The sequence below is a fragment of the Homo sapiens genome, chromosome 9 (genome assembly GCF_000001405.40).
Source record: "Homo sapiens chromosome 9, GRCh38.p14 Primary Assembly".
NCBI lineage: Eukaryota > Metazoa > Chordata > Mammalia > Primates > Hominidae > Homo > Homo sapiens.
In genome coordinates this window covers 124,696,544-124,712,581 of record NC_000009.12, presented here as the reverse complement: position 1 = coordinate 124,712,581, position 16,038 = coordinate 124,696,544, and the positions used below count along the sequence as shown (strand labels likewise).

At 40.6% G+C, this 16,038-nt stretch overlaps 1 protein-coding gene and 1 long non-coding RNA gene across 5 annotated transcripts in view, besides 1 other annotated feature; one reads left to right on the top strand and one right to left on the bottom strand.

Moving 5' to 3' along the window:
* Nucleotides 1–16,038, top strand: part of NR6A1 (nuclear receptor subfamily 6 group A member 1) — a 254,037-nt gene that overhangs the window by 58,730 nt on the left and 179,269 nt on the right. The window lies entirely within an intron of this gene.
* Nucleotides 4,439–4,950: an enhancer, noted in NCBI's record as "H3K27ac hESC enhancer chr9:127469911-127470422 (GRCh37/hg19 assembly coordinates)". NCBI's record gives its function as "activates a minimal SCP1, AML or CMV promoter by ChIP-STARR-seq in naive H9 embryonic stem cells {active_cell/tissue: H9 hESC(naive)}" and the evidence as "EXISTENCE:reporter gene assay evidence [ECO:0000049][PMID:30033119]".
* MIR181A2HG (MIR181A2 host gene) overlaps nt 13,954–16,038 on the bottom strand; it is a 40,193-nt gene continuing 38,108 nt past the window's right edge. Inside the window, exon 2 of the long non-coding RNA NR_038975.1 lies at nt 13,954–14,264. This is a non-coding gene — a long non-coding RNA (MIR181A2 host gene). The remainder of the gene's footprint in view (nt 14,265–16,038) is intronic.

Genomic DNA, 16,038 nt, shown 5'->3' with positions numbered 1-16,038 from the left:
GGCTGGAGTGCAGTGGCGTGATCTTGGCTCACTGCATCCTTCGCCTCCCAGGTTCAGGCGATTCTTGTGCCTTAGCCTCCTGAGTAGCTGGGACTACAGGCGTGTGTCACCTACCTGGCTAATTTTTGTATTTTTAGTAGAGAAGGGGTTTCGCCCTGTTGACCAGTCCGGTCTCCAGCTCCTGGCCTCAAGTGGTCCCCTTGCCTCGGCCTCCCAAAGTGCTGGGATTACAGGTGTGAGCCATTACACCCAGCCTCCAGAAGACTTTTATTTTTCCTTAATTTCTCATTTTGGGCATATTCCCTTTTATTTGTTGAATCTGCATTAGTTTAATTTTTCGTGTAGTCATAAACCAACTAATAGGCTTTCTAGATGGGCATAAGCGCTCTCTCCTCCTCCTTCAGTTTTTAAGTCTCCATCTAGTGGTCTATTCTGGAAGCACAGAGGTGAGAACCTGTGTTAATGTATTGGTGGGTATGCCAGTTTTGTCCATTAGGTGGCAACAGGCCCTAACCAAAGAGGGAAGAGCACTCAGACTGAAAAATAGAAAACCTGTGCTTGCAAAACTCGGAACAAGATTTTCTGGTACAGCTAGGCTTCAAAATCTTGGAGAAGGGAGTTGTATACCCTTAGGTCATTCTAAGAGCATGTACAAAAACTCTAAAAATATATGGGGCCTATAGTCCCAGCTCCTCAGGAGGCTGAGGCAAGAGGATTTTTTGAGCTGCAGAGTTCAAGACCAGCCTGGGCAGCATAGTGAGACTCTGTATCTTAACAATAAAGACACATGGGAATTCATTTCCCTGTCTCACTTCTCTTGCCTCTCAAGCTTGAAAATCTTGACTTACTCAGTGGGTATCCAGTGGTCACTTTTCTTTGAATATTGGCAGTAGGAGGTAATAGGGACAGAAGGTTAAAGTAATAGAGTAGACCCTTAATGCAAGGGGATCTGAGTTTGGGGATGGGGTGAGAAGGATGTGCCTGAAACCTACTTTATTAATGATAAAAAGAAGAAATCTACTTGCAGAGAGATTTCAGGGAGAGGCATTAATGGCTCCTCGCCATTTTTGGGTCTGACACTCCATTCCTTGGGCATGGATAAAGGAGTGTTTGTGAATGTTGTCTAAGATGTGGCTTTTTTTTTTTTTAAATGGAAATAGGAGAACAGATTTTCTTTGGCAAGGAATTGTTTAAGGCAGTGGTGAAGGAAGAAGATCAGTTAAGGGGGTGTGAGATTCCATGAAGTGGTGGATAGAATTTATAGGGCTGTGAAAATTAAGATAATGTTTGGGGAAGACCACTAGGGTGTAAACAGTGTGACCTGGCAGGCTAGAATAGATTGCTTGGTTATGGCAAAGATGCCAGCTTTTTTTTTTTTTTTTTTTTTTTTTTTTAAACCTTAGCTGACTTAGGCATGTAAAAATCTACTTAACTTGCATGTTCCTGCTTTCCGGTTCATAATTATTCATTGGCAGTGGACTATTATGTACAAATAGGCTTGGAGTAAGGATGATAGATGCGCTTTAACAATTGGGTATGGTTCATATTTGAAACATGACATATGCATGTCAAGATTTAATTACTGGAAAATTTCAAAATAAGGATACTGTTAATGTAATACCTATCATTATACACCACATGAATCAAACTAACTTGAAAATGATGATGCTGAATGAACTGTAATTGAAGAGTAAAGCAAAAATAGCAGCAATTGAAAACTACCACTAATTTCCTCAACAGTGATAATGGAGTTCTTCTGAGAACTGTAAGATTTCCAGCTGATCTTACGTGTGCAATTGCGGAAGGATCTTTGCAACTTTTCCACCCATTTTTGGCAACTAGGCTTAGTAGAATACTAGAGTCTCATTCGTTTATAAACATTGAATTGTATTAATAGTCACTTAACAAGTTACTTGCATGTAGCTTTTAATCACAGGCAGAAATAAACTGAACACCAGTCACTCATAAGATGGATGAATGTTGGATTAATTCACCAGGAAGATCCTTTATACCTTGAGAATCATGGGGCTAAGAGGTTGGGAAGGAGGAGGATAAGGTAGAAAAATAGCCTTAGGCTGAGGCTCATTGCAATGAACCTTTGATGCTAAATGTGAAATAGAAAGGGGGTGTTTTTTCTGTGACTTAAAGCAAAACCTCAACATTGTGTGTGTATGTGTGTGTGTGTGTTTCATTGTGTATTCACAGGTGTTTATAATAGTTCTGATACAGTTGGTAGGATTACTACATGTGGTCAGTTCTGTTGACAGAATTATTATTTGTGACTTTTAATAACCAAATGATTTTTTTAAGGAATTGTTTTTCTGTTACGTTGAATGGAGAAGTTCTATGTCATCGAGAAGGAAATAAAGTCCTTCATGTAATGATTTTGTGCGGAGACTTTTGTTGACTTGTCTCGTGTCTGATCATTTGGCCCCTCAGTTGTCCAGCATAACTAAGATGCAGTAAAAAACCAAGCCCTAAACATTTTCCATTTTCATCAAAATAATATTAATTATGGGATTGAGTGATTCTCTTTTCTCTGGAGTAGTTCAATGGCAAGGAACAGAAACACTCTCAAGCTAGTTTAAAATAGGGACATTGTTAGAAAGTACTGGGTTTCTTTTTTTTTTTTTTTCGAGATGGAATCTCACTTTGTTGCTCAGGCTGGAGTGCAGTGGCATGATCTTGGCTCACTGCAACCTCTGCCTCCTGGGTTCAGGCAAGGTTCAAGCGATTCTCCTGCCTCAGCCTCCCGAGTAGCTGGGGTTATAGGTGCCTGCCACCTTTCCCAGCTAATTTTTTGTATTTTTAGTAGAGACAGGGTTTCACCGTGTTGGTCAGGCTGGTCTCGAACTCCTGACCTCAAGTGATCTGCCCGCCTTGGCCTCCCAAAGTGCTGAGATTACAGGTGTGCGCCAACCCACCTGGTGCAAAAGTATTTGTTTTCTCTTGGGGCTCAATGGCAGAGCATGCAATTGAATTTCATGAAGAACCAAGGCCAGGATTTCTTTTCCATCTCTCTGTGGCTATGTGGAGTCTCATTTCTGCTTTTTCTAGTGCCTCTGGTTGATAACTTCTTTAGACTGATACTCCTCGCTTCTGTGTCCATGATGGAAAATGGCTGCCCCTCCCCTCCCCTGGCATGTCACATAGCCTTCTAGCACCCATGCTTGACACAGACTAACTAAAGTATTTGTGTTCAAATTGTAAACACTTAGGAAGGAGTATAAGCCCAGATTGGATCAGGGTCCATTTGTCCTTTCAGGAGCTATGGTAAATTGACTATTCAGTAGAAGCTGTAGAAGTATTCTAAGGAGAATATAAATAGAACAGAGAAATTATCTGACATGATTACTTCAGTCAGGAAATAGGCAGGATGGAGATTCTGGAAACTGACTATGGAATCTGGTATTTGAGCCAGGACAATGAGCAGACAGGGAAAACTCAGGGGCATAGATTAATGGATTAATTAGGAATTATTTGCTGGGCCTGAGATGAGAGAGGATGGGGATCTGAGAAATGCAGTGAGAATCCAGGTATTAATTGATGCTTGACATTTGGCAAGTAGAAGAGAGATATATTCAGGTCACGCAGTTACTGGCTGTGGGTATAAGCTTTAAGACCCAGAGCTCTTGGTCTTGGAATGCTAATGACCAGATGGGCTGAGAGTTAAGACCTGGGCCAGTGGGAAAGGGACCCATGATAGCCATCAAGGCATGCTGATGGGCTTAATCATAGTGACCAAGGCCAGCTGTAACACTCAGTGTACTACTTTGCCTGGGACCTATTTGAGTACCTAACTGGTGATAAAGTCTGAGATTGTGTACTTTTGCCCTAGTCATCATTGGCCCTGGGGCTTGTCCAGCTTATATATACACATGGAAGGCACTAAAGACTCCAGTAGTTATGGCTTTTGGGAAGAGAGAATTGAAAATAACTCTTTACAGTTTTGGGCTGTTGCTTTCTGGAACTGAAAATGATTCCATAATCCCAAGATGAGTTTATACCTCTGCCTTCCTCTGGAAGTTTTCCCTCCTAAGTGAAATTTTGAGATTAAGTTGTATTTAAGCAGTTTGGGTGCCAAAGACATTTATATCTGGCATGAGTGAATGAGGAGGTCAAAAAATTCTCTCTCCCCAAATTTTCAAAAACAGCAAAGGCTTAAAACAAATTGAGAAGCATTTATTCATGAAAACCACTGTACTTGGGGTAAGAACAGCAGGAGTTTTGTCGTGTTGCCTGGGCCTGTTCCTATTTCTCCCAGCCCTGACAGTGCAGTAGTTCAACCAGGGTGGGGCTGGCGGTGAAAACCAGTAGCTTTATGACTGCTGCAGGAGGGAGCTTTCTTGATTTGGAATGTTGTCAGTTAAATTTGATGATCTTTGTGGCAAGTGAAACAGGGCCAGCAAATCTGCTACTCTGAGGTTGCAGTTCTGTTTAGGATAAACAGTGGGCCAGTAGACTAGCCAGGGCTTTAACAAGGAGGTCTGGTAGGTGAGACAGTTTCAAGGGGCTTGATAAGCTCTCCGAATATCCTGGGTTGGAGTATTTATGCACATCAGACACCTGTGTGAGCCCAGACTACCACACATCCCTGACCAATGCAAAGATGTGTGGGAAAGCCAAGCAAAAAGTAACTGGAACAGACGTGAAGGCCTGAAGTGTGAGTGTGCTCCCCTTATCCTGACCATAGTTGCAGCAGCAGGTAGTGAAAGAGCTCAAGGTGGTTGATTACCATCTCTGACTAATCTTTAATGGAGTAGGAAGCTATACAGTTAGAGGGGTATCTCCTGCAAGTCAGGCTTCAAAATAAAAAGGTGGGGGGAAAAACCGGAGCCATCAGGAACTACACATTGCAGAGGAGACAGACTTGGTGGTTTAGTGCAGGAAAGTTAGTAAACAAAACAAAAAACAACTCATCATCACCACCAACCTTAGTGGGGGAAAAGTCAGAATCCAGAGTTGCCAAAAGCACATTGTTTTAAATGTTTAGTATCACAACAAAAATTAAAAGACATGTAGAGAAACAAAGTTTGACCCATACTAAGGAAAGAAAAAAAAAAAAACAGTAGAAACTGTCTCTGAGTGATCCTAAATGTTGGATCTAGCACACATAAGACTTCAATGCAACTATTACAGATATTCCAGAGAAATAAAGGGACAACTTTTAAAGAATTAAAAGAGGAAGTGTGATGACAGTGATCTAGTACATAGAGAATTTCAATAGAGAAATTATAAGAAAATAAAAATGGAAGCACTGGACTGGAGTTGAAAAGTATAACTAAAATGAAAAGTAGGGACTCAGCAGCCGGTTTGAGGTGATGAAAGAATTGGTGAACTTGTAGATAGATGAATTAAAAATATTCAATATGAAGAACAGAGAAAAAAGATTGAGGAAAAAGGAACAGAACCTCTGAGATCTGTGGGACATCAAGTGTGTATGTAATGAGACTCATGGGAGGAGAAGAATGAGAGAAAGGGGCAGGAAAATATTAGAAGAAATAATGGCAAAAACTTTCTGAATCTGATGATAAACATTAATCTACAGATTTAAGCCTAATAAACGCCAAGTATGATAAACACACATCAGAGTCAAAATGTGGAAAGATAAGGACAAGGAGAAAATCTTGAAAGCAACGAGAAAAAAAATGATCCATTATAGATAAGGAAAAACAATAGGCTTTGTGGCTGACTTCTCATCAAAAGCAATGGATGCCTGAAGGCAATGGGATGACATTCTAAGTGTGGAAAGGGAACAAAATTGTTGGCCGGGCGAGGTGGCTCACGCCTGTAATATCAGCACTTTGGGAGGCTGAGGTGGGTGGATCACGAGGTCGGGAGATTGAGACCATCCTGGACAACATGGTGAAACCCCCTCTCCACTAAAAATACAAAAATTAGCTGGTGTGGTGGCGCATGTCAGTAATCCCAGCTACTCATGTCAGGAGAGGCTGAGGCAGGAGAATCGCTTGAACCAGGGAATTGGAGGTTGCAATGAGCCAAGATTGCGCCACTGCACTCCAGCCTGGCGACAGGGCGAGACTATCTCAAAAAAAAAAAAATTGTTAAATGTTCTGTATCTAGCAAAACTGTTCTTCAAAAATGAAGACAAAGAGTTCCACATTAAAAAGACAGAATTTATTGTGAGTGGACCTGCTTTAAAATACTAAAGGAAATTCTTCAAGCTGAAAGGGAGTGATACCAGATGGTAACTCAAATCCATAAGAAGAAATGATGAACAGTGGAAATAGTAAATATGTCTGTATGTTTTTTCTTCTCAATTTTTTAAAAAGACAAGATTATATAGAGCAAGGATTATACCATTTTATTACTAAGTTATAACATATATGGCAATAATAGGAGGGGATGGATAGGAGGTATGTTGGATAAAGTTTCTGTATTTCCTGGAACTAAATTAGACTGTCATAAGTAAAGATGCATGTTGTGAGGCCTAGAGCAACCACTAAGTAAACAACAAAATATGTATAGTTTAAAAAAATAAAATCAGGCTGGCGTGGTGGCTTACGCCTGTAATCCCGGCACTTTGGGAGGCCGAGGCAGGTGGATCACCTGAGTTCGGGAGTTCAAGACCAACCTGGCCAACATGATGAAACCTTGTCTCTACTAAAAATACAAAAATTAGACGGGCATGGTCACGAGCACCTGTAATCGCAGCTACTTGGGAGGCTGAGGCAGGAGAATCACTTGAACTTGGGAGGCAGAGGTTGCAGTGAGCCAAGATCACACCACTGCACTCCAGCCTGGGCAACAGAGTGAGACTCTGTCAAAAAAAAAAAAAGGGGGGATTGAAATGGTGTACCCTAAAACATACTTCACACAAAAGATGATACAATAGAAGCAGAGGTTAAAAAAAAGACAAAAATAGCAAAATAGCATAAAGTCCAGCTATATCAGTAGTTATATTAAATGTGAATGTACCATCTATTCAAAAGGTAGAGATGGTTAGCCTGAATAAAAAGGCAAAACACAGCTCTATGCTGTCAGTTCAATAATGGACATACCTTAGATTTAAAGACACAAATAGGTTGAAAGTAAAAGTGAGATCATGCAAATAGGAGAGCTGGAGTAACTATATTAATGTCAGACAGTTTAAGCAAGAAATATTACTAGAGACAGGGACATACTGTAATGACAAAAGGGGCAATACATGAGAAAAAGATAATTATTAAAATATATCTAACAGGAGACCACCAAAATACACGAAGCAAAAACTGACAGAAATTAAAGGAGAAATGGACTATTAAACAATAGTAATTGTAGATTTTAATTTCCAACTTTCAATAATTAATAGAATAATTAGCAATAATTGATAGGAAATTAGCAAGAATATAAAAGACTTCATCAGCACTATCAGTGAACTTGACAGAACTCATTTATTGAACACTTTATGCAAAATATACAAGGGAGTTAAATTAGAGATTCATAACAAATCTGGTATCTCCAAATATTTGAAATTAAACAACATACGTATAAATAATAGAGCAAAGAAGAAATTCCAAGGCAAATTTTAAAATACTTTTAACTAGGCCAGGCACAGTGGCTCATGCCTATAATCCCAGCACTTTGGGAGGCCAAGGTGGGCGGATCACTTGAACCCAGGAGTTCTAGACCAGCCTGGGCAACATGGTGAAACCCTATCTCCAAAAACATACCAGAAATTCGCCAGTTGTGGCATGCGCTTCTGGTCCCAGCTACTCGGGAGGTTGGGGTGGGTGTATCTCCTGGGCCTGGGAGTTCGAGGCTGCAGTGAGCCTTAATTGTGCCACTGCACTCAGCCTGGGTGATAGAGTGAGACCCTGTCTTCCCCCCCACACACAAAAATTTTTTTTAACTAAATGAAAACGTAACATATCAAAATTTATGAAATGTAGCTGAAGCTGTGCTTAGAGGAAGATTTACAGCTTTTATAATGCCTGGATATTTGAAAAGGAGAGGCTTAAAGCACTAACGTAAGCGTCCATTGTAAGAAACTAGATAAAACACAAACTAATCCGAAGTAGCTGGATGTAGAGGTGTGTGTTTCTTGGGAGGCTGAGGTGGGAGGATTGCTTGAGCCCAGCAGTTTGAGGCTGCGGTGAGCTATGATTGCATCACTGTATTCCAGCCTGGGCAACAGAGTGAGACCCTGTCTCTGAAAAAACAACAGCAACAAACATCTGAAGCAAGTATAAGGAAGAAAACAATAAAGATTAGAATGGAAAACAACGAAATGGAAAGCACAAAACCAGTTGAGAAAAATCAGTGAAACTAAAGTTGGTCCTCTGAAAAGATCGACAAATTTGATAAACCCCTACCAAGACTAAGGAAATAAAGACAACACAAATTACCAAAGTCAGGAATGAAAGGACATTATTACCCACAGAAATTGAAAGGATTATAAGGGATTTGCCATGATCAACTTTATCTCACCAAATTAGACAACTTAGATGAAATGGACAAATTCCTAGATACAGATGATCAAAACTGACTCTAGAGGAAATAGAAAATGAGACCTTATAACAGTTAAAATGAATTAGTAATTAAAAATCTTCCTACAAAGAGAAGCCTAGGCCCAGGTGTCTCCATTGGTGAATTCTGTCAAACACTTAAAAGAAGCATGCTGGGTGCAGTGGCTTACTTGGTGATGAACACCTTTAGTCCCAGCTACTTGGGAGGCTCAGGTGGCATGAGGCCAGGAGTTGAAGGCTAGCCTGAGCAACATAGCAAGACTACCATCTTAAAAAAAAAAAATCAAGGAAGCAATAATACTAATCCTTAACAAATTCTTTTAGAAAACAGAAGAGGAAGGAACACTTGACAACTCATTCTACGAGCATGGTATTATCCTGGTAACCCAACAAGGATACCACAGGGAACCTGCAGATCAGTAGCCCTTTACGAACACAGGTGTAAAAATCTTTTAACAAAACATTAGCAAACCAAATTCAACAATATAGAATAATGTATTATATACCATGACCAAATGGGATTTAATTTGGGAATACAGGCTTGTATTAACACATAAAAATGCAGTATACCAAGTGTCGACAAACATTCCACTAAAAGGTAGGATGGGCTGGGCACAGTGGCTCACGCTGGTAATACCAGCACTTTGGGAGGCTGAGGTGGGAGGATTGCATGAGGCCAGGAGTTCAAGACCAGCCTGGGTAACATAGAGCCTGTTACAAGAAAAGAAAAAAAAAACCCTGGACATGGTGGCATGTGCCTGTAGTCCTTGCTACTTAGGAGGTCGAGGTGGGATGATCACCTGAGCCCAGGAGTTTGAGAATGCAGTACGCTATGATTGTGCCACTATACTCCAGGCTGGGTGACAGAGCGAGATCCTGTCTCAAAAAAAAAAAAAAAAAAAAAAATGTGGCCGTGTGTGGTGGCTCACGCCTGTAATCTCAGCACTTTGGGAGGCTGAGGTGGGCAGATCAGTTGAGGTCAGGAGTTCGAGACCAGCTTGACCAACATGGTGAAACCCTGTTTCTACTAAGAATACAAAAATTAGTTGGGCATGTTTGTGTTTGTCTGTAATTTCAGCTACTCAGGAGGCTGAGGCTGAGGCAGGAGAATCGCTTGAGCCCAGGAGGTGGAGTGCAGTGAACTGAGACTGTACCACTGCACTCCAGCCTGGGTGACAGAGTGAGACTCCATCTCAAGAGAAAAAAAAAAAATTTGCCTATTCGTAGAATAGGCAAAATTCTGTTTTGCATTGCTCTAAGGGAATGCCTGAGACTGGGTAATTTATGAAGAGGTTTATTTGACTTACGGTTCTGGAGACAAGGTATGGTACCAACATTTTGTTGGCTTCTGATGAGGCCGCAGGAAGCTTTTACTCATGGCAGAAGATGAGGGGGGAAAAGGCACATCACATGGCAAGAGAAAGAGCAAGAGAGGAGGAGGTGCCAGGCTCTGTAAACAACCAGCTGTTGTGTGAACTAATAAAACAAGAACTCATTACTGAGGGGAGGGCACCAGGCCATTCATGAGGGATCTACCCTCATGACCCAACTACCTCCCATTAGGCCCCACCTCCAACATTGAGGGTCACATTTCAACATGATTTGGAGGGAACAGACATCCAAACTGTATCAGTGATAATTGCTGTAAGGATAGGCACTGGAACTGAATTGAGAATTCAGTCATAAATCCTTATGTATGTGGTCCTTTGATTTTTGACCAAGATACCAAGGCAATTCAGTGGAGGAAATCATAGTTTTTTTCCAGAAATGATGCTGGGAAAAGTGGATATCTACATGCCAAAAATTTATCTAAGACTCTATTTTACACTAGACACAAAAAGTAACTCAGAGTGCACCATACACCTAAATGTAAGAGCTAAAACTACCAAATGTATCAAGCATATCTTTGTGACCTTGGGTTAGGCAAAGACCTCTTAGATGTGACACCAGTGGCACAAGCCATAAAAGAAATTCATTGATGAATTGGCTTCATTAAAATGTAAAACTTTTGCATTTCAAAATACGTTATTAAGAAAATGGGAAAACTTCAGATTGTGGGAATATATTTGCAAATTAAATATCTGGTAAAGGCCGGGTGCGGTGGCTCACACCTGTAATCCTAGCACTTTGGGAGGCCGAGATGGGTGGATTACTTGAGGCCAGGAGTTCAAAACCAGCCTGGCCAACATAGTGAAACCCCATCTCTACTAAAAATACAAAAAACTACCTGGGCGTGGTGGCAGGCGCCTGTAATCCCAGCTACTCGGGAGGCTGAAGCAGGAGAATCGCATGAACCCGGGAGGTGGAGGTTGCAGTGAGCCGAGATTGTGCCACTGCATTGCAGCCTGGGCAACAAGAGCGAAACTCCGACTCAAAAGAAAAAAAAATCTGATAAAGGAGTTGCATCTAAAATACGTAAAGAACTCTTACAACTCAATAAGAAGACAACTCAATTTTTAGAAATTAACAAAAAATATAATGATTCCACTTATGTGAGATTCCTAGAATAGGCAAAATTCATTGAGGCAAAAAGTAAACAAGTTGCTAGGGGAAATGGAGGATAAGTAGTTATTGTTTAATGGGTACAGAGTTCTTGTTTAGGATTATGAAAATGTTCTGGAAATGGATAGTGATGCTGGTTGCACAGCATTGTGAATTTAATGCCATTGAATTATATACTTAAGTGATTAAAATGGTAAATTTTATGTATATTTTACTACAATAAAAATTAAAAATATGAAAACATGGGTAAAAGAACATTTCATCACATGCAAAGGTGCTCTAAATTAGTCATTAGGGAGATGCAAATTAAAATTGGAATGTCCACTGTACACCCTCAGGAATAGCTGTAATCGAAAAGACTGTCAAAATGTTCTAGAAAGTGTTAGGATGTGTAGAAACTAGAAATCTTGCGTGTTACAATGGTAATGTAAATCAGTTGGAAATCAGTTTGGCAGTTCATTAAAAAGTTAAACTTACCATATGATCCAGCAATTCCACTCCTGGATATCCAAGAGAATTAAAAACTTATGTCCATACAAAGACTGTATGTAGGCCAGGTGTGGTGGCTCATGCCTGTAATCTCAGCACTTTGGGAGGCCAAGGCGGGTGGGTCACCTGAGGTCAGGAGTTTGAGACCCGCCTGGCCAACATGGAGAAACCCCTTCTCTACTAAAAATACAAAAATTAGCTGGGTGCGTTGGCATGTGCCTGTAATCCTTGCTACTCAGGAGGCTGACACAGGAGAATCGCTTGAGCCTGGGAGGTAGAGGTTGCAGTGAGCTGAGATTGCACCATTGCACTCCAGCCTGAGCCACAGGGCGAGAACTTGTCTCAAAAAAAAAAAAAAAAAAAAAAAAGGCTATGTAAATGTTTATTGATAGCATTATTATAAATGTTCATTAATAGCCCAAACCTGGAAACAATTCAAATATCCAGCAGCTGGTGAATGGATAAACAAAATGTGGAATACCTATATAATGCAATACTATCAACAATATTTATTTATTCAACAATAAAAAGGAATGAATTACCAGTACATGCTACAACATGGATAAACCTAAAACTCATAATAAATGAAAAAAGCCAAACTTCACTGGGCGTGGTGGCTCATGTCTGTAATCCCAGCACTTTGGGAGGCTGAGGCAGGTGGATCACTTGAGGTCAGCAGTTCGAGACCAGCCTTGCCAACATGGTGAAACCCCATCTTTACTAAAAAAATAAAAATTAAAAAATTTAAAAAAATGCAAAAATTAGCCGGGCATGGTGGTGTATGCCTGTAGTCCCAGCTACTCTAGAGGCTGAGGTGGGAGAATCACTTGAACCTGGGAGACGGAGATTGCAGTGAGCCAAGATCACGCCACTGCACTCCAGCCTGGGTGACAGAGTGAGACCCCATTTCAAAAAAAAAGCCAAACTCAAGCGAGTACATGTTATATGATTTCTCCTATATGAAATGTCCAGAGGCTGGGCGTGGTGACTCACACCTGTAATCCTAGCACTTTGGGAGGCTGAGGTGGGCAGATTACTTGAGGCCAGGAGTTTGAGACCAGCCAGGCCAACATGGCGAAACTCCATCTCTACTAAAAAAAAAGGCGGGTGTGGTGGCGCATGCCTGTAATCAAAGCTACTCAGGTGACTGAGGCATGAGAGTTACTTGAACCCGGGAGGTAGAGGTTGCAGTGAGCTGAGATCATACCACTGCACTCCAGTCTGGGCGAAGACTGGAAGAAGAGCAAGACTGTCTCAAAACAAAAACCAGAACAAAATGTCCAGAGAAGTCAAATGTATAGAGACAGATCAGTGGTTGTCTGGGGGCTAAGTTGGGAGTGGAAACAGGAACAAAGGGAGTTTTATGGGTGATGCAAAGGTTCGAAATTAGATTTTGGTGATGCTTGCACAAGTCTATAAATGAATGAATAAAAGTCATTGAATTATACACTTACAACAGGCGAATTTAATTGCATGTGAATTATACCTAAACAAAGCTGTTTAAAGAAATATTTAAGATTGGCTGGAAGCAGGAAAAGGAAGGGACGTCTTGACAAAATGATTTAAGTTCATTGATCAGATGGGGCCCCACTGATTATTTGCTATGTCATTATTCTTCACCTTGGAAGCTTATAATCCCAAAGCCTTACCCTGTGTCCTACCCCACTACAGAGTATAATAGCAACTTCTTGTTTGGGAGGTGACTCAAGTGTTTGGAGTTGCTACTGATGGACCTAGAGTGAATGATATTTCCCATCCAGTCTGATGACACTTACATGCAGAAAAGGCCTTCTTTTAACCCTGGGTTATGGGTTAACTTTATCCAGACATCTTGCACACATATACTGCTGGTTGACAAGTAGGCAAGAGTTTGGGTAGTGAGAGGATCTTGTCTGAACTACTTGTCTGTACCTGTGGAGCAGCACCATCAGAGACTAGGATACTTTGGCCTATACCTTGTGCTGTTTGCAGAGCGCTTTTTCACATCTGAGATGGAGAGGGTATATTTAGTCGTCCTTTTACAGAGAAGTAAGACTTAAACAGGGTGACTGGCTTGACCACGAATACATAATCAGGGCAGAGCTGAACTTAGCTGAACTTAAATTCAGATTTTCTGACTCTTGTATTTCAAGCGATTTCTTCTATACCTACCGTTTTTTGCCCCAACTACTTACTGGGAAGAGGAGAGAAAAGGGCATACGATTTTGATTGGTTGTGTGTTTTTCAGTAGATTTAGTCTGAAGAACAGGAAGGGAAGTTGGGCTACAGTGTAAGTTCATGGGTTCTGTGGCAAGTATAGCCAGGATAATTTTATCCTGATATTTGGTAGCTATTAAAATTATATATAGGCTGAAACTGCAATGTGTGGGACAGATAGATAGCTGAAGGTATCCTGTGCTTGGTTCAAGGAGAAGATTACTTCCTAAGTTATAAATATAATTGTGCTAGAAATTACAAGAAAATTCGTTTGATAAAAAAAGTTAAAAATTCATTTGATTAAAAAAAACATTTATTATCTACTCCATGCCAGGCCCCTTGACAGGTTATGAGATCACAAAGTCCAGTTGGATCTTGTTGAGGTACAGCCTGAGAGGAGAACATGAATAGGCTGGAATTTCCTTCATTGTGTTCGTTCTCTGAGGATGACTTATCTGTCCTCCAAAGTGACCACCTCCCACGGATCGAGAGCCTGTTACTTTCTACTATCCCTGCAGCTGTGCTTTCCACAGGACAGTTCGCCTTTCCTTCCTTTCCTCTGTGGATTCTTCCATCTGATTTTCAGCCGAATGTAGGTAGATTCTGCATCTAAAAGAAATCTTTGTTTTTCCTTTTTCTTTTTTTTTAATACATGATTTAAAAGGCGAAAGATTTATATGATCTGAAGAGAAACCAGAGTAGAAAGACATGATTTAAAATTAACTTTTTCTTAATTGTTGAAATAGTTTATGCTTATTGGTAAATACTTGGAAGATCTATAAGAGTATAAATAATAAACATAAAAATTACCTATAATTCTACAACTTTGAGATCACAGTTGTTAACGTCTTTGCTTCTAGTCTGTTTGAACTTCCTGTCTGCTTTTTGTCTCCTATCAGCCAGTCATGCTTGGCAGCGCTTACAAAACACACACACAACACATGCACATACACTAAGATCTTAATATTTTGTGTGTCAGATCTTGTGTGAAATTCTTTACATGTATTCTTAATCTTCAAGCAGCCCTGTGAAGCAAATACTATTGTTGTATCTCCTATTTACAGATGACACAGATTTAAAGGTTAAGTAATTTGCTCAAGTTCATATAGTTGCTAAGTAACAGCTGAGATTTTTACCCTCATTTAGCCCAAGCTCTTCATCACTACCTTTCCAGAAATCTATTTCCACAATGACTAGAACGCCAAAATTGTTCTTTCCAAAACTATTAGTAATCTGTTTTTTTTTTTTTTAAATCCTACCTTCTTTTCTGGCCTTGTCTCATGACTTTTTCACCATCTTTTTATGTGCTTTAGTCACAATTTCTGTTTTGTAAAAACACTGCTTCTTTGGCCTACACAACATACCATCCATTCTCTATGCTTGGAATGCTTACTCTATTTCACCAAGGTAGTTACACATACCCTTGAAGTCTTTACTTATACATCACTTCCTCAAGGAAGTTCCCTGACCCTTCTTACCACCAAGACTGGATTGGTCCCTCCTATTATTTGCTCTCATAGTACCTTACTTTTATCTTCTGCAGAGCTCTTCACACTTGCAATTAGCTATTTGTTCGTTAGAATTAGTTCTGCCTTTTACGTTATATACTTTTGTTTCTTCCATGTCTCCTGGCTCCTGTTGCAGTCCAGGTATACACTAGGTGTCCAATAAGTATTTGTTACCTTTTTCTTTCTGCACTTAGATCATTCTTTCTCAGATCCATGCTTATGAATCATAAATGTGCATTCCTTGTTCTGATATCTGTTCCAAAAGTGGAATCCTCTTTCTTCCATTGTGAAATTGCCCATTTCTTTCTTAGTACACTCCAGGCTCCTAATCTAGTCAGGAAAGTTTGGCATCATTCTTGACTCTTTGCTTTCTTTTCTGTTTGAGCCAGTTCTTTGGAAGGTGGTTCTGATATATCGATATGGAAAGATGGCCACAATATTTTAAGTGAAGAAAGATTTCAGGCCGGGTGCGGTGGCTCACGCCTATAATCCCAACACTTTGGGAGGCTGAGGCGGGTGGATCACTTGAGGTCAGGAGTTTGAGACCAGCCTGGGCCACATGGCAAAATCCTGTCTCTACTAAAAATACAAAAAATTATCCAGGCATGGTGGTACGTGCCTGTGGTCCCAGCTACTTGGGAGGCTGAGGTGGGCGGATCACTTGAGGTCAGGAATTCGAGACAGCTTGGCCAACATGTCAAAACCACATCTCTACTAGAAATACAAAAATTAGCCAGGCGTGGTGGTGAGTGCCTGTTGTTCCAGCTACTTTGGAGGCTGAGGTGAGAGGATCAGTTGAACCCAGGAGGCAGAGGTTGCAGTGAGCCGAGATCACACCACTGCACTCCAGCCTGGGTGACAGAGCGAGACTCCAT